This window comes from Homo sapiens, chromosome 17 (genome assembly GCF_000001405.40).
Source record: "Homo sapiens chromosome 17, GRCh38.p14 Primary Assembly".
Classification (NCBI taxonomy): domain Eukaryota; kingdom Metazoa; phylum Chordata; class Mammalia; order Primates; family Hominidae; genus Homo; species Homo sapiens.
In genome coordinates, this window is record NC_000017.11 from 68,893,661 (window position 1) to 68,913,357 (window position 19,697).

Below are 19,697 nucleotides of genomic sequence, written 5' to 3' on the forward strand. Positions count from 1 at the left end.
TTCACTATTCTTGTGCTGGTCACAGTGCTGTAAGATTTCATTTTTATTGCTTCATATTCTCTTTTTTTTTTTTTCCTTTTCTTTTTTTATTATACTTTAGGTTTTAGGGTACATGTGCACATTGTGCAGGTTAGTTACATATGTATACATGTGCCATGCTGGTGCGCTGCACCCACTAACTCGTCATCTAGCATTAGGTATATCTCCCAATGCTATCCCTCCCCCCTCCCCCCACCCCACCACAGTCCCCAGAGTGTGATATTCCCTTTCCTGTGTCCATGTGATCTCATTATTCTCTTTGAAAAATGTTTTGTTCATTTTATTTTACTTTAAACAAATTGAAGCTCTGAAAACGTATTGATTTTCCAAAGTCACAGAACTAGAATGAGTCCAAATGTTAATTTATTATGCAGTGGTTTACTCAATAAAAACAAGATTCCAGCACTTAAAAGGGTGATCTGGGAGATTCCTGATAGAGGAGAGTCAGGAATTGTAAGATTATATATATTTACCTCCAAAAATGTACTTCTTTCAGTTCGGATATGTACTGATGGTTTAACCATTCCAAGTAGCCCATTACTAACAATGTCCATAAGAACTGGGAAGCAATTCAATCTTTTGGCATTGCATGCTAACGAAAAGCTGTAATTCTAAAATATAACAAGTAGGATATAAGTTCTCAAATATCTTCATTTTGTTCTCTAAAAAAGTCAAAATTTGACATGTTAAATTAAGAGGTTATGTTTTTCATATGGTGTTAAATAATCACAATAAAAAGCCAAACACTGTGTAAGTAAAATCAAATACTGTATAAGTAAATCAAAACATGTATATAGTAAAACTAAATCATGTATCTGATATTTAGGACACCGGATGTCTTGCTTGAGGCCAGAATCATATGTTCAGTGTTTATTGTTTAAGAACAAAACAGAAGTTTTGGAATACATGTGTTATAAAATCCTTGAGGGGAAACATGAAATGTTCGAACTTATATATAGTCTTGATAGTAGGTATTCTATAGTATGTATTTTGCTAATAGTTTGTGCCAGTAGACAATGATGGATATATGAATTGTTTATGCCAGTGAATACAATTCACTAAGTAATAAATGAAAACAGTATTTGCTTTTCATTTTTATTTCTTAAGTTGGAAGCCTGAGTATATTGATATTATGTTAGCTTTTCACATTTTTCAGAAAGATTATTAGAGACCTGCATACCTTTTCATTACAACACACTGTGATGGCTCCATTATAAGATGGGTCATCTGTGCCATTTCTAGTTCCAAATGCATCCACTTCTAAAGCTATGTTCTGGTGCTCCACAGACTGTATAAAGTCATCAATGCTTGCCCCTAAGGTGTAGTTAAAGATATTAGGTATCACAAAACTAAAAACATTAATGTCAAGTTGTGTAGTCAAATTACAGTTAATGTCATTATGTGAAGCAGTAATATGGACTGTCAGGATATTTTCTACATAACATACATAACATCTATTATTTCTCATGGAATTCCTTCATGATATTTTTATTTGCTTATGATTATTATTAATGTAAAAGATTTTTTTAGTTCCAAGTGTCTTTCAAAATAGATTTTAGAATCTTGCAATGAATGTCCATAACCAATAAAGCTTTAATGATACTGATAACTTCCATTGATTAACCACCAAATTTGCTAAGTCATTTTACTACTGCTAGATTATTAATTAATTTTCAAAATTTTCTTGATACTGGAAGACAACATGTAGACTAGCAATGTGAGGAGCTCAGTAGACCTTCTCCCCAGAAAAACAATCATAACTTATAAAAATTCCTAAAAAACCAACAAATTAAAATGTTTTGAAATTGTTATAAGAGCATACAGAAAATGATGACACATTTATTTAATAAAATGTATTAAATCTCAGTAAGAACACTGAGAAATTGTGGCATTTGAGCCACAGCCTGATCCGTCTACTCCCCACTTCCTTCCCAGATCTGTGTAATAGAAGCTTCACTCTGAAAGGGTGTGGGCAAGAACAGGGATCCCTATTCCCCAAGCCCAGTTCAGGGCTATAGTATCTTCACGGGAGGGGCTTCCCATCGACTTTTCTCATTTCCCCACATCTGCGTTGCAGAAGATCAATACCAGGCAAGAGTGGCTAAGAGATCTGGAGTTCTCTTCCTCCACCCATTCCCTAATCCTAAGGTGGAAGCTCTACCCTAGGAATAAGAGGCCCAAAACACCGGGACACAATCATCCTTGTCCCATCTCACGTGTAGGGCAGAGTTTCCACGACAGGAGAGGCAAGCTGAGAAGACCAGAGGCCACCACCCCTGCCAAGTACCCTGCTCACAAATCAGGGGTTCCACACCAAGAGAATCAGGCACGATCCATGCTTCCAGCTCTGAAGCAATGGTGAGATTCTTGTTTCAGGAACAGCGGCAAGCCATAAGAACAGTATGTGCTGAAACTCTCCCTAAATAAACTGACTTTAGTTGGAACAGAGTTTGGGGAAGTTCAGGCCTAAGAGTGCACCAAAAACCATCAAGATTTTGTTGGTAAGCAATTGACAGGAGATTGCAATTCCCTTGGTTGAACCATACACCAGCTAAAAGTTTACTAGAGAGAGCAGCAAAACAGAGAGTTAAGAAGAGCCCTTCTGTGGAGAGGACACACCTCAATAACTGGCTTCAAAGACTTTTCCTACAAACAAGACCATATTTATAGTAGTGCTCCCTTATCCATGGTTTCACTTTCTGCAGTTTTAGTTACTTTTAGTCCACTGCATCTCTAAAATACAAAATGAAAAATTCCAGAAATAAACATTGTATAAGTTTTAAATCGCATGGTATTCTGAGCAGATGGATGAAATCTCGTATCGTCCACTCTGTCCTGTGCAGGATGTGAATCAGCCCCTTGTCTTCTGTGTCCACACTGCATATGCTACCTACTCATTAGTTACTTAGTCGCCACCTCCGTTATCAGATCGACTGTCAAGACATCACAGTGCTTGTGTTCAGTTAACCCTGATTTTACTTAATAGTGGCCCCAAAGCACAAGAGGAGTAATGCTGGCAATTTGGATATGTCAAAGAGAAGCCATATATTGCTTCCTTTAAGTGGAAAGGTGAAAGTTATTGACTTAATAAGGAAACAATAAAAAAATTGTATGCTGAGGTTGTTAAGATCTACTCTGAGAGCAAATCTCTTCTGTAAATTGTGAAGAAGAAAAAAGAAACTCATGCTAGTCTTGCTGTTGCACCTCAAACTGTAGAAGTTATAGCCATAGTGCATGATAAGTGCTTAGTTAAGATGGAAAAGGCGATAAATTTGTGGATAAAAAACATGAACAGAAACGTGTTCTTATGGATGGCCATTAGTTTGGTACTATCTGTGGTTTCAGGCATCTGCTGGGGATCTTGTAATGTTTCAGATGAGAGGGAATTACTGTAATTGGATCAAACTGTGGAGCAACTTATGCATATGGGCATTTTTGAAAACAATAGGCCAATCAGCTTGCTACTGGTGGTGCCTAACAACTGAATGTGATACCAGTAGAGTTAGCCAGTGTAATGGAGAGGTCAGGAAAAGAGACAAAGAAAGGTCTGCTAAATCTATTGCCATCTCAGGGGAATAATGCACATGGCCAAAGTTATGCCTCTGAAGAATGGCATCAGAGTTGTATAAAGCAGGGGAAATGAGTAAACAATAATCACAAGCTTCAAGACAAGCTGGGGGTCATTATTCAAAGTTGTTACAATCTATTACTTTAAATGTCCAGTTTTCAACCAAAATTATGAGACATGCTAAAAAATAAGAAAGTGTCACTCTTATACAGGAAGAAAAGTAGGCAACAAGAACTGCCTTTGGAAGGCTGAGATAGCAAACCTAAAAAACAAAGACTTCAAGGCAGGTATTGTAAGTATGCTCAAAAAACTAAAAGAAAGCATGTTTAGAGAAGTGAAGAAAGGTATGATGACAATGTCTCACCAAACAGATTATACCAATAAAAAGTTATTTCAAGTAATAAAGAACCAAATAGAAATTCTGGAGTTGAAAGTACAATAATTGAAATGAAAAATTCACTGAAGGAGCTCAACAGTAGATTTGAATGATCAGCAGAAAGAATTAGCAGACCTGAAGATATATTAAATGGGATTATGCAACCTGAAGAACAACAACAATAAAAAAACAGAACCTCAGAAAAATGTGGGACATTATTAATCACATTATTTCATATGCAATGGAAGTTACAGAAGGAGAGGAGAGAGATAAAAGAAGAGAAAAACAACCACTGAAGAAATAATGACTGAAAACTTACCAAATTTAATTAAAAACTTTATACATCCAAGAAGTTCAACCAACTCCACGTGGGATGTATGCAAAGAGATCCAAACCCAGACACATCAGAGTAAAAATGGTGAGGACAAAGGCAAAGAGAATGTTTCCTTGGTGATGTGTAAGGAAACACCAATAAGAACCCAGCTGATTTCTCATCAGAAACAAAGGAAGCCAGAACACAGTAAAATGACATATTCAAAGTACTGAAAAAAATTCAGCCAAGTATTTTATATTTAGCAAAACTAGCTTTCAAAGATGAAGGTGGTAATAGGTATGATGTACACTGTTTGAGTGATGGTTACACCAAAAGCCCAGACTTCACCACTACACAATATATCCATGTAGCAAAACTGTACTTTTATCCTGTAAATCTATAAAAATAAAAATAATAAAGAATAAAAAATGATGAAGGTAGAATAGAACTTTTTTCCAAGATAAACAAAAATGAAGAATTTGTTATAGCAGACTTGCCTTATAAGAAATACTTAAAACTGAAAGCAAATAACCCCAGATGGCAATTTGAATCCAAGTGAAAAGGCCAAAGAGGATCAGCAAACACAACTATGTACTTATAATTGGTAGTATAATGCGTATTTTTCCCTCTCTTGTATTAACTCATTTTAAAAGCAAATGTATAATGCAGTATGTATATAATTTTATTGTTGAGGCGTAAAACATAGACATGTAAAATATTTGAAAACAATGGCACAAAGGAGGCAGGTGGAAGCCTAGCTGTATTGGAGTAAGGACATCACATAAGATGATAATATGAATTCACAGGAACAAATGAAGAGAACAAGAAATGGTAAATAAAAATTTCAATGAGCTACAGACTCTTTCCTCTGATATAGCTGTATTCACTCTTCCCCATTTTGATGTTATTATTACACATATCACATCTATATGTTTTTAAACCAGCAATACATTGGTACAATTATTACTCAGTATGATTTCATATCTTTTAAAGAAGCTGAGAGAAGAAAGGAGAGTAAGTACATATTTGTAGACTTTGTTACATTAATCTTAAATCTGTGTAAACTTTAAGTAGATTAAAATAAGATGTACATTCTAGGCCCAAAAACAATCACCAAGAACATAATTCAAAAATATAATAAAAAATCGTTAAAATAATTAAATCATTAAACTAGAAGATATTCAATGCCAAAGAAAACAGTAAAGAAGAAATAGAGGAACAAAAAAGACATGAGACATTCAGAAAACAAACAATAAACTGGCAGATACAAATCCTACATTATTAGTAAAAATATGATTTGTGAATAAAATAATACACTCAAAAGGCATAGATTGTTAGATTGTATTTAAAAACACTATCCAACTATATACTGTTTATAGGAGACACATATCAAATTAAATTTACAGGAGACACATATTAAATTTCATTGATACAAATTGAAAGCAGAAGGTGGAACAATACATCATGCAAGATAAAACCATGGGAAAACTGGAGTGGCTCTTCTAATATCAGACAAAATAGATGAAAACAAAAAATGTTACTAGAAAGCATAAGAGACATTTTCTAATGATACAAGGGTCAAAACAGCAGGAAGTTATAACATTTATAAACGTATATACACTTAAGAGAGACTCGAAATACAAAATAGCACTGAAAAGTGAAATATACAAATTTTCACCCACAACAGCAGAATGCACATTCTTCTCAAGTGCACAAGGAACATTCTCCAAGATGAGCTAAAGGCAAGGACATCAAACAAGCCTCAACACATCCAAAACGGTTGAAATTTTATAAACTATGATCTCTGACCACAAGGGATGAATTTAGAATTCAACAACAAAAACTTAGAAAATCACAAATTTTTGGAAACTAAATAGTCTACTCCTAAATAACCAATGAGTCAGAAAAGAAATCACAAGGGAAATTAGAAAATATTTTGAGATAAATGAAAATTAAAACATGATATACCGAAACTTATGCTATGCAGCGAAAGCATAGCTTAGAGGGACGTTTATAGCTGTAAACACCTATGTTAAATAAAAGAAGAAAAATCTCAAACCAGTGAGTGAAACTTCTGTGTTAAGACACTGAAAAGAGAGGAACAAGCTAAACACAAGGCAAACAGAAAGAAATGAAACCAAGAATATTGGTTTGGAAATGAGTGACATAGACAATAGAAAAACAATAGAGACAGTTAAGCTAGAAGTTGGTTCCTTGAAAGCATCAACAAAATTGAGGAACCCTTAGCTAGGATGACCAAGAAAAATAAAATAACATGAAAATTACTAAGATCAGGAACAAAAAGAGGGCATGAATACCAGTCTTACAGATTAAAAGGATTAAAATGGAATATGTTTGTGTAACAACAAATTAGATAATATAGTATAATGGAAAAATTCCTGGAAAGACAGAAACTATTAAACTGATACAAGAAGAAATATAAAATGTAAGGAGACCTGTAACAATTAAGAGATCAAATTGCTAATTACAAAACTTCCCATAAAGAAAATCCCTCACCCAGATAGCTACACTAGTACATTTCTACCTAATAAACAAAAATTGTCAATCCTTCACAAAGTCTCAAAAAAAAAAAAAAAAAAAAAGAAGTGCAGGGAACATTTGCCAACTTATTATATGCAGCAAGTATTACCCTGATATCTAAAGACATTAGCATAAAATAAAACTACAGACCAATATCCCTTATGAATAGAGATGGAAAACATTATCAACAAAACCCTAGAAAATCAAATCTGGGAGAAAATGGAAAGGATTATACACCATGACCAAGTATGATTTATCCTATAAATGCAAGGTTGGTTTAATGTCTGAAAATAATATGGTATAAAACCCACATGATCATCTCAGTAGACACAGAGAAAACATTTGACAAATCCAACATCTGTTCATAATGACAACCCTAAAACAAAAAAAAACTAGAAAAAGACATGTCACAGCCTTCTTGCATTTAGAAACACTAAATGACACTTCAGCAGTATTCTTTGTGTCATTTTAAACAGCAAAATCATCACAAAAAAACATAAAAATGTGAAAAATGTGGCATGAAATAGATTGCAAAAAGGCATTTGTTTACAGTATGAGAGCTAAAACAAGAAAGCAGTGTTATTTTGTTCAATCTCAGTTGAAAATGTGTACATCAGGTGACTAAAAATGTTCACTTCTCTGAGCATATCTGTAAATATCATGAAATGCAACAGATATGTAATTGGGGGTTACCAATAAATTTCAGTGAATAGGCAAATTCTTAGATACAGAATCTGAATATGAGCACCTACTGTATCTGATAAAAGAATTTTTATCATAACACTTAGAACTCAATTAAAAATACAATCCATTTTTTCAAAAGAAAACAGACATTTCTACAAAGAAGGTGTACAATTGACGAGTTATCACACGAAAAGATGCTCAACGTTACTGGCCATTAACAAAATACAAATCAAAATCACAAGATACTACTTGACATACACGATGATGCATGTAATAGAAAAAACAAAAAATAAGTGTTGGCAAGCATACGTAGAAACTGGAATCCTCAAAAATTGCTGATGTGAGGCCGGGCGCGGTGGCTCACGCCTGTAATCCCAACACTTTGGGAGGCTGAGGCGGGCGGATCACGAGGTCAAGAGATCAAGACCATCCTGGCCAACATGGTGAAACCCCGTCTCTACCAAAAATACAAAAAAATTAGCTGGCTGTGGTGGCAAGCTCCTGTAGTCCCAGCTACTTGGTAGGCTGACGCAGGAGAATCGCTTGAATCTGGGAGGCGGAGGTTGCAGTGAGCCGAAATTGTGCCACTGGTCTCCAGCCTGGTGACACAGAGCGAGATTCCATCTCAAAAAAAAAAAAAAAAACCCCACAAAAATTTCTGGTGTGAATATAAAGTGGTACAGTCACTTTGAAAAACAGTCTGGCAGGTCCTTCAAAGGGTAAACATAGTTACCACGTGACCCAACAATTCTACTTTTAGGATTACACCCCAGAGAAATGAAAACATATGTTCAAACAAAAACTTGTACATGAACATCTGTAGCAGCATTTTTCGTAATATCCAATTATTGGGAAAAAATATATCCATCTGCTGATGAATGATAAATAAATTGTGGTATAACCATCAATAAAATATTACTCAACAATAAAAATGAAGTATTGATACATAGATAAATGCTACAACATAGATCAACTTTGAAAACATGCTAAGCGAAAGAAGTCAGTCACCAAATACCACATGTTGTATGAGTCCAGTGATATTACATGTTCAGAGTAGACAGATCAATAGAAACAGAATGTAAATTTGTGATTGCTGAGGAGTTGGGGGAGGGACGACATGGGAGTAATTGCTATTCGGTATGGGGTTTCTTTATGGGGTGATGAAAATATTCTAAAAGGGATTGTATTGATGGTTTCACAGTTCTGTGGATACACTGAAAACCATGGAATTGTGCATTTTAAATGGATAAATTGTATGGCCTGTGAAGTATATCTTAATGAACCTGTTAAAAATGCTATTTTGGTACAAACGCTTTCATTTAGCAAGATGCCACCAGATGTTTCTCCTTTAGAAAATACTTTACCTATTCCTGCTTCTTTGGGGGCCTGTATTTATTATCTTTAAGTTTCATAAATTGTTTTTTAACACATGCTGAATAAGTGAAAAGCTATTTTCTTTCTCATGGTTATGTTTTCTAAGTACTGCTCTGAACAGTAAATGTATTTGGAAATCAAGTATCCACCATTTTACCTGTTTTATTGATGATCAGTAGTTGAGTGAGAGGGTCATGTGGTTGTTGTCCAGGAGCAAGGAAATACAAATGAGGAGAAAGTTCCCAGGTGTAACTGTTTTGATATATTTTCACCATGGTATACTCCACAAGAAGAGGGCAAAATCCAGCCATTAGAATTAATAGCCTACACAAAAGAAAATTGCCAAAATGAATGCAATGTCATTTCCTGATCTAATACTCTCTGAGCAGTTTATAATGTAATGGGATAAAGAAATTATAAAAATTAAACACAATTAACTGTCACATTTCTTGAGTATTTTGTCCTTTTACTAACTCCAAATTCAAGATGTTAAACCGTAGATTTGTCCTTTGTTCATTTCTCCTGTTGCTTTTTGGCCATTGGATATCCCATAAAATTTCATGCAATATTTGTCCTTTGGATGTCAAGATTCTGCCTCTCTCCTGTGCTTCTTCCACTGTGATGCTTTCCCTTTCTGCTGCCTAATTCATCATATCTTTGTGTTTTTTTGCTTGCCTTTATACCTTAGATTTGCTTTTTAACGCATTGACTTAAAAAGAAAACCTATGGCAACTCTGATACTTACAGTGCTAAAAGAGCTTTTCTTTCATGCTTTAACTTTAACAAGCGAACCCTTGCAATTGCGCAGATTTGCTGTCGCCAGAGAGCCACACCACCTATTGTCTTTCTCATCTTGTTAAGTGAAGAGAGGACTTGTTCCATCTCAACAAGCCTTTCAGTGTCGTCAGCTTTTTCCGCTTGTACTTCTCCCAAAATAGCAATGTCTGCAAAACATAAAATAAGCAACTCATATGTACTTTATTGAGCTTACTATAGAGATTGGCTCTGCTAAGCATCTCATGATTAGACTCTTCCGCGTTACTATAGGTATAACGTGGTTTTGCTGGTTACTGCCTTAAAATACAGAAATAGAAGAAATATTTATTTCTTGAACAAAAGGGATAGAAAGGAGACCTTAGGTAATTTGGATACAGACAATACATTACAGAGGTCAAGATAAATAGGCAAGGTCATCACAGTGGTTAGAAATGACATGGAAAGTCAGTAAAGGAAACAAATATCTTACATGTTCAATGAAGCTACAAATTGACATGCTCTGAACAGGGAGTAAACTGTAAATGGCAAGCTACAAACTGGGAGTTAGCTATAAATTGTTACTGCAGAGATTTCAAAACTATTCAGTTTTGAATAGTTTCTGAGACTGCATTCATTTGTGTGTTCTCTATAATCTCTGGATACCCAGGATGCTGTCCATTGTATAATGCTAAAATAAGCCTAATATCAAACCTCAAAAAGCACACACCCGTAAATGTATAAGTACAGTGACAGGACACAAAACACACTGTGAATGAAGATATAAGGATCTTAAGATAGTGGTCAAAAGTCCATTAAAAAAATTAGCCGGGCGTGGTGGTGGGCACCTGTAGTCGCAGCTACTCGGGAAGCTGAGGCAGGAGAATGGCGTGAACCCGGGAGGCAGAGCTTGCAGTGAGCCGAGATCGTGCCACTGCACTCCAGCCTGGGTGACAGAGCGAGACTCCATCTCAAAAAAAAGAAATAATAATAATAATAATAATAATAATAATAATAATAATAATAATAATAATTCAGGGATATTCTGCTTCTCGTTAGTTGCAAGAGACTGTCAACCTGTCTTACCAAGGGAATAAATATTAGTTATTTTTAATCCATCAGATGGGCGAGAGCACAAAGAAAGCTAAAAAACTAACATGTATAAAGGAAGGAAACATTTCTAGGGGGAGAAGATTCCTGTGGAAGCTTTCATCTTTAGGGACATGGCAGAAAAAGGAAAAAGGAGAAAACCACCATAGGTAGGTGAAAAGAAAGCAGCCCAGATTTAAAAATTCTGTGATTATATGTGGGCTGATATAACTGACTAGAATCATGGGGTACCTAAGTCACAAAACGAGTTTACAGCATCTACGAACTTTTTTTCGTGGAGCCTTTCCTAAGTGCATAGGAACAGTACAGCAGTAGCTGGGGGCAGATACTCAGAAAAACGGAGAGAGAAACACAAGAAGCTGCATAGTGTCTTGAGCAAGACATCATCAGGGTTCATGGGTCTTTCCTTTTGTGTAATACATGAGTCCACTAGGGTCCAGTCACTGAATGAGGAGTGGAGAGATGTATACTAACAAATAAATAAACAAAAAGTGATGACAGGCTGAAAATCAGTGAGATTAATCATTATTGAGATATTTGATAGCAGGGCTATAGAGAAATATATAGAATTTTTCCAGTGCTATAATTCAAAGTCACGTCTAAGGGAAAGACCTGATTCTACCTTTAAAACATTCGAAGCTGGGAGTGGACTGAATCTAATAAAACCTGTGCAAAAGCCCAGGCACTTGCCAAATACAAATTAGATCAGTTCTGCCATCCACATCAGTAGTCTGACAGAGGAAGAGTCATGCCATTTTCTGGCCATTGTTTACCTCAGTGTTCCTGTTTTGTTAAAGTAACATCCATGATAAAATACAAATTTCAAGACATATGAAGAAGCGGGGAAATATAACCCATAGGGAAGAGGAAAAAAAATCAGAGTCAGTTACTGATAACGGTCATCAGTCACACGGTCCACATGTTAGAATTAAAATACACAAGTTTAAAAATAACTATGATAAATATGTTACAAGATCTACTGGAAAATATGGACAATATTGAGAGCAGATGAGAAATAGTAAAGAACTGAAACTCTAAAAAAGAACAAATGAAAATGTTAGAATGAAAAAGTGCAGTATCAGAAATAGAGAGTTTATTATGTTCGGCTTCAAAACAGTCTGAACACAAGAGAATAAGTTATTTGTGACCTTGAAAATAGGTGGATAGATAGTGTCCAATTTCTAACATAAAGAAAAAAAAAAGAAAAACCTGACACCAGAGAATCTGATATCTGTGGAACAGTACAATATGTCTAATTAAGACTCTCTTCTTTATTGCTGGCCTACAGGAATTTAATAGTTTCATTTTAAAGTATTGTTTGGGGTTCTTAAGTGTTTTAGATCTGTGGGTTCATGTTTTATATTAATTTATGATTTAGAATAAATGTTTTATCTGAAATTGCCCTTAGAAGCCTAGAGCTAATATGAGTGCAGTGAGCCTTGGATGTAGAAAAATGGATTATTTTTAACTACAAAGCAATGTTGACAGGGATGCGTTTCATTTTTACACAAGCTTGTCTAAGAAGAGCCTTAATCATGAACCCCACATTTTGTAATCACATCTTTGGAACAGTGTGTTCTTGAAATATGTGCTTTTACATAATAATTTTCATGCATTTTATTTACCCGATTCATTAATTGTAGATTTTCCTTCTAGCTTCAGGAATACTTCATTCAAAGTTGTCATGGAAACACCATAATTCTCAATTCCTAGGTCAGGATAGCTATCAAGATCCTTGTAAAGTTCTAAAGAATACATATACAGCAGTGAATTAAAACAAGAATCACAAGTGAACTGAAGACAATTTTTCAAACTAATAAGCACAAATCTATGAAACTATACTTGTGATATGTCAAAAACATTTGAAAATTAACATTTCATAATAGATCATCTTATTCTGCAAATTCTATATATTATTTTCTATTTTACATCATGTGTTACAACCCAAATATTACTTTGTCAAACATTAATTTATATTCATTTGCATTTCTATTAAAGTTTAATCTTAGTTTTTTCTGACTTCCTTTTAAAATTTAATTAATTGTGAGACTCTGGGTTTTTCAACTCTAAGCCTAATTAATTGAAAAGTCTTTTCTAGAGAACAGATATAAATGGGAGCCATTTATGTTCTAACTGACAAAAGGAAAGGAATTAATTTTTTGAGAATTAATTGGATGGTGTAGAATCTTCTGTAGTTTAGAAAATATTTGTTAAAGAGAAGACATAGAATATAAACCATTAAAAAATTTTCTGTTTCTAACAATGGAAGAAAAAATTCACAAGACCTAACAGGCAGAGAATGTGGAACTGAATCAGGGAATTTTCCTGGAATTGTGACAGTGATTATTCGCTCTAGCAATTTTATATCTATTCATTCTTTAGTTCGTTCACCAAAATATACTTACGCATCTGTCATTGTTCATGAAGCAGTGAACAGTGCCCCTGCCTGCATGGATTTGAATTACAGTGGTTAAATCAAGCTTAAATAAAAACCTAATTCTAATACTAGGGTGATTACAGAAGTCCTGAGGCTTCCATCTGGAGCTCCTGCTTGGGCAAAAGGATAGGTTAAAAGCTTTTTGTCTTGACTAGAATACCTCATACAGAAAGGTAGAAAAGAAGTAAGATTTAAGCTAATAATGAGTATTATGCATCATTCTTCATTCCACCTAAAACGTCTACAAATTTTCTTTAAATTATAATTACTGTTAAAAAGTACTAATCAGAATTTGCGTAACACTTTCCTGATGATTCTAAGGAATGCTTGTGTTGTCACCATAAAATGTGTATTTGAATGAATGTATATGTCTTTGTTAACCACATATACAGCAAGGTTAATTGTTTCAACCACTAATGTGGGCCCTTATAGTGCCCCATTGTTAAGGAACAAGTTCCCTGAACAACAAACATAGTTAGTAAACTTTTATGCGTTAGCCTGAAAAACCCAAAGTTATTGCAAAAGTCTCACCGAGACAGATAGCCACATCACAGGGCTGTTTAATGTAGTGCATAAGCCAGAGGTTTTCAACCATTTGGGTTTGTGTACATTTATGAATACTAGAATATTATGTTACACACTACTAGGGAAGAAGGACTAAAAGAAGCCCTCTAAAATGCCCAGGCATTACAATACAACTATTAGAATGTAATTCTATTTCCCACTATACAGAAAATAATTCAGTTATTGTACTATTCTTTTGATTATGTTTCAGTACCTGAGCATACTGTAAGACATTGATAAATGTTAGTTGTAATGATAATAATTATGATGATGATGACTATTATTCACATATTTTATTTCACAGTGTTCATGCACATTACCTGGAAATTTATTTGTTCTTTCTAAGGGTAATGTATAAATAAGTTTTCCTTCGCTTTTGGCTGATAATTTGGCATCAGGGATGTGCTGTTTAACAAGTGATGTTATGTTTTCCTCAACACATATTTCATTTAACTGCAAGCTGGCATTCAGAAAAAAAAAAAAAGACATATGTTACTCGACATAGTCTCCAATAGCAAGAAAATAATTAACTAGTCTCTATAGGACAAAGAAAATCAATTAAAATCTAATGCCAGAAATAGGTCAGACAAACACAAAATAAGAGGACAAAAACCCAAGAAATAAGAGGACAAAAACCCAGCCAAATCATATAAATGTGATGGACAAAAGAAAAGAATGAGCTAATGAGAGTTACTGGTGAGGTTACTCAGGAGTAGTGCCCAGAGAAGTTTCATATTGATTGAAGCTCCTGAAGAGAGGGTGGTCACAGAGTGGAAAATACCAGGGTTGCAGTACAGCAAAGGTCAGGACTATGCAAAATGGATAACGTTGCAGTTGAAGGTTCAGTTTTAAGCTGACTAAATAGAATTGTTGTATCGCTTCAAAGGAACAAGAGACTTGTGAGAAGTATAGATGCCAAACAGTTTCAGTTACTCAATGTAGTCATCCAATGCAAATTTACTAAGTTCTTAGTATGTGACAAACATCATACTTAGTGTTGAGGATACAATGGTGACTAAAGCAGCATTATTCTGCTCTTATGGAGTTCATTGTCTAGTGCGGGCGTCAGGAAGAAAACATGTAGACAACCAGATGAGTAAAATAATTATCAATAGTAGTAAGTGCTATGAAGGAAACTGGATTATAGATAGAAACTAATAATGGATGAATGTGGTTTGCTTTTCTTGTAATGCTAAGCCCAGAACTTTGAATAAGAACAAAGTATCATTGAGAAAATCAGTCTATCCATTGAAAAATACCACAGCTATTTCTCCATTATAGAGAAACAGACAAACACAATATTCTATTAATTGAGGTTATAAATTATACAGTGGGCAAAATATCAGTAGTGACTTGGCTTTGAAATATTGTTTTAGCATCTGGAACGTGTTATTTAACTTATCTAAACAGTTACTTTATTAGAAAACTGGAATAATGATTCCCAGCCTCTAGGGTTATTCGAACAATGGAATAATAGTGAAGTTTGCACTTGACAAGCCCTTAAAAATGGTAGCAATTTTATTTGACCAAATGCATAAGTCAAAAATTATTCCACTGACACATAAGTCATGTATGAACTTAAAAGAATATATGCTATTTTTTTAGAAGTAGTGAAATCCACTGGAAGAGTGAAGCAAAAAATGTCGTAGCTGTTTTCCATGATGCTGACTCCTGAAATGAAAACAATTTAAGAATTATTCCTTGGCCACTTGTAGGAACTTGTGCTGAGTGCTGGGGCGGAATGAATGAGTCATGCAGAAAGTCATTCCTTGAGGAACTTGAAGCTTGAAAGGGGAGGTTGTAAAACTTTTTCTGTAAAATGTGTACTAGATAGTAAATTTTCTAGGCTTTGTAGGCTGTTAGAACTCTGTTGAAACTCTTCCACTCTGCTGTTGTAACATGGAGACAGCCAGAGCAGTGTGTAAAAGAAAGGGCATGACTGGGCTCCAACCAAACTGTATTTACAGAAAGAGGAAGTAGGCTGGATGTGGCTCATGAGCTATAATTTGTTGGCCCTTAGATTAGAAGAAAATAAGGCAATTGCACAAATAGGAGTCCATGAATGGACTCGCAAATTGGGCAGGGATCCTGACTAGCACTTTTTATTTTGAAAACATGTTATGTTTCCATGCAGTGTGCCAGGCAGTCTCTTATTTATTTTTCTATAACCTTTACTTGTAAGTAGGAATTGCTACTCTCACTTTGTAGGTGGAAACACTGACTTTCAGATAGTTTAATTAATTTCCAAGAAGAGATGCAAACAAAGTGCTATAAGAAATAAAAAAAAATTGGGACATTACACAGAACTGGAAAAATATCTACATGAGATATTTTTCAAATAACTTTCTAGGACTTAAACAAGTGCAGATGAGTTAAGGAAACTGTCATCCTATTTTCTTTGTATTGTTGTCATGATAGGTTTGTTTTCTTTCTTAAGTATAGATGGTATAAATTTACAAAAACGACCAATCATGTAACAAAAACAGTAGTTTAAAATATGGATTTGACTACTAGATTTAGAATTTAAAAATATTCAGGTTCAATTTCTGATTCCAGCACTTCTTAATCTAGGGAGTCTGTAATTTCATCTGTAAAATAAAAGTAACAACACTTCTATTTTAAACAATAGAAGATTTAGGAGGGGAGGTAGAGCAAGGTGGCCAGATAGAACCCTCCAGAAATCTTCCCATCCCCCAGGAACACCAAATTGAACAACTGTCCACACAAGGAAGCACCTTCATAAGAACAAAAAAATCAGGTGAGCAATGATAGTGGTTTTAACATCATATAAGGAAAGAAGCACTGGAGAGGATAGGAAAGACAGTCTTGAATTGCTGACACAACTTCCCATCCTTGGCAGCAGCTGTGTGGCACAGAGAGAGAATGTTGTATGCTTGGGGGAGGGAGAGGACAGTCATTGTGGGACTTTGCATTGGAACTCAGTGTTGCCTGTCACAGTGACAAGCAACGTAGGGCAGAATTCGGCCACTGCCCACAGAGGGAGCATTTAGACCAGCCTTAGCCAGAGGGGAAGCATTCATCCCACTACCATGGACTAAAGTGCTCTGGGGATCTAAATAAACGTAGGACCACAGGGACTGAAATTCCTGGGCAAGTCCTGATGCTGTTCTGGGCTCAAAGCCAATGGACTTGGGGTGCAAAAGACCTCGAGAGACACCAGCTGGAGCAGCCAAGGGAGTGCCTGTTTCACCCCCTCCCCCAACACCAGACAGTGCAGCTCGCTGTTCCAGGAGAGACTCCCTCCTTCTGTTGAGGAGAGGAGAGAGGAGTAAATAGGATTTTGTTTTCCAACTTGCATACAAGCTCAGCCACAGCAGAATAGGACACCAGGCAGAGTTCTGAGGACCCCATTCCAGGCCCTTGCTCCCAGATGACATTTTTAGACATACCCTAGGCCAGAAGGGCACCTGCTGCCTTGAAGAAAAAGACCCAGTTCTGGCAGAATTCATCACCTCCTGACTAAAGAACTTTTGGGCCTTGAATAAACACCAGGAGTAGCCAGGCAGTACTTGCCACAGGCCTTGGGTGAGGCCCAGTGCTCTGCTGGCTTCAGGTTTGACCTAGCACATTCCCAGCTGTGATGGCTGTGGGGAGAGACTTTCTGCCTGAGGAAAAGAGAGGGAAGAGTAAAGGGGACTTTGTCTTGCAGCTTAGGTACCAGCTTAGCTACAGTGGAGTAGAGAGCACCAAGCGGACTCCTGGGGTCCTGGATTCTAGGCCTTGGCTCCTGGATCTGGACTTGCCCCAGGCCAGAGGGGAGCCCATTGCCCTGAAGGGAGCTGCTACCCAGGCCTGGCAGCATGTACTACAAGCTGCCTGAAGTCCCTTGGGCCTTGAGTGAACATCAGTGGTAGCCAGGCAGTACTCGCTGCAGGCCTGGGGCAGTGGTGACTAGGGGGAGAGACTCCTTCTCCTTGAGGAGAGGGAAGAGTGGGAAGACTTTGTCTTCTGGTTTGGGTGTCAGCTCAGCTGCAGCAGAATACAGTGCCATGTAGATTCCTAAGATTTCTGACTCCAGGTCCTTCCTCCCAGAAGGCATTTCTGGACCCACCCTGGGCCAGTGGGAAGCTTGCCACCATAAAGGGAAGGACACAGGCCTGGCTGTATTTGCCACCTGCTGCCTGAAGAGCCCTTGGGCTTAGAGTGAACATTGGCGGTAGCCAGGCAGTGGTCGCTGCGGGTCTTGGGAAAGACCCAGTGCTGTATTGGCTTTAGATCTGACCCAGCATAATCCTAGTGGTGGTGGCCACAGGGGTGCTTGTGTCACCCCTCTGCCAGCTCCAGACAGCTCAATACACACACACACACACACACACACACACACACACACTCCATTTGGAGAAAGATAAGGGAAGGGAACAAGCATCTCTGCCTGGTAATCCAAAGTATTCTCCAAGAGCACCAAAGTGGTACGTCGAAGAGTCTGCAAGAATCACCATGTTACTGGATTTGAGGGTGCCCCCTAGTGCTGATACAGCTGCAGTGACCAAAGACTTAGACCATAACATTCTATTCCCTTTGAATACTTGGAAAGCCTTCCCAAGAAGGATGGGTACAAACAAGCCCAGACTGTGAAGACTACATTAAATACCTAACTCCTCAATGCCCAGACACTGATGAACATCCACAAGCATCAAGACTATCCAAAAAAACATGACCTCACCAAATGACTAAATAAGGTACCAGGGACCAATACCAGAGTGACAAAGATATGTGACTTTTCAGACAGATAATTCAAAATAGTTGTTTTGAGGAAGTTCAAATAAATTTAAGATAACACAGAGAAGGGACTCAGAATCTTATCAGATAAATTTAACAAAGAGATTGAAATAATGTTTAAAAATCAAGCGGAAATTCTGGAGCTAAAATATCAACTGACATACTGAAGAATGTATCAAAGTCTCTCAAGCAGAAGAATCAATGAGCTTGAAGACAGGCTATTTGAAAATACTCAGAAGAGACAAAACACAAAAGAATTGAAAAAGAATGAAGCATGCCTACAAGATCTAAAAAAGAGCCTCCAAAGGACAAGTATAAGAGTCATTGGCCTTAAGGAGGAGATAAAGAAAGAGATAAAGATAGAAAGTTTATTCAAGGGATAATAACAGAGAACATTCCATGCAAATAGAAAACAGAAAAGAGCAGAAATAGATATCTTTATATTAGACAAAATGAATTCCAAGACAAAAACCATAGAAAGAGAAAAAGAATGTCACTATATAATGATAAAAGGGTCAATTCAGCAAGAAGATATAACAATTGTAAATATATATGCACCCAACACTGGAGCACCCAGATATGTAATGCAAATGTTATTAAGGCTAAAGACAGAGAGAGAGAGAGAGACCCAATACAATAATAATAGCTGGAGACTTCAACACACTACTTTCAGCACTGGACAGATGATCCAGACAGAAAATCAAAAACATTGGACTTAATGTGCACTATAGATCAAATGGACCCAATAAATATTTATAGAACATTTTATGCAATGGCTGCAGAATACACAGTCGTCTCCTCAGCACATGGATCATTCTCAAGGATACACGATATGCTAGCCACAAAACAAGACTTAAATTTTTTTTTCAAATTGAAATTATACCAAATAGCTTCTCTGACCACAATAGAATAAAACTAGAAATCAATACAAGAGGAACTTTGGAAACTATACAAACACATGGAAATTAAATAATATGTGTTAGAATGACCAGTGTGTCAAGGAAGAAATTAAGAAGGAAATTGAAAAATTTATTGAAACAAATGAAAATGGAAACACAACATGCCAAAACCTATGGAATACGGTGGAAGCATTACTAAATGGAGAATTTATAGCAATAAGTGCTTACATCAAAAAGAGAAAAACTTCAAACAAACAACCTAACGACACTTCTTAAAAACTAGAGAAGCAAGAGCAAAC

At 36.2% G+C, this 19,697-nt stretch overlaps 1 protein-coding gene across 8 annotated transcripts in view; it reads right to left on the reverse strand.

Annotated features, from left to right (window-relative positions):
- The window catches only part of ABCA8 (ATP binding cassette subfamily A member 8), an 88,104-nt gene that overhangs the window by 26,372 nt on the left and 42,035 nt on the right, over window positions 1-19,697 (reverse strand). For all 8 annotated transcript variants that reach the window (NM_001375771.1, NM_001375772.1, NM_007168.4 and 5 more), the window contains 6 exons: window positions 14,080-14,219; window positions 12,384-12,503; window positions 9,641-9,839; window positions 9,053-9,219; window positions 1,220-1,353; window positions 513-650 (listed from right to left, as the gene is read on the reverse strand). In NM_001375771.1, coding sequence (NP_001362700.1) covers window positions 513-650; window positions 1,220-1,353; window positions 9,053-9,219; window positions 9,641-9,839; window positions 12,384-12,503; window positions 14,080-14,219 — 898 coding nt within the window. The remainder of the gene's footprint in view (window positions 1-512; window positions 651-1,219; window positions 1,354-9,052; window positions 9,220-9,640; window positions 9,840-12,383; window positions 12,504-14,079; window positions 14,220-19,697) is intronic.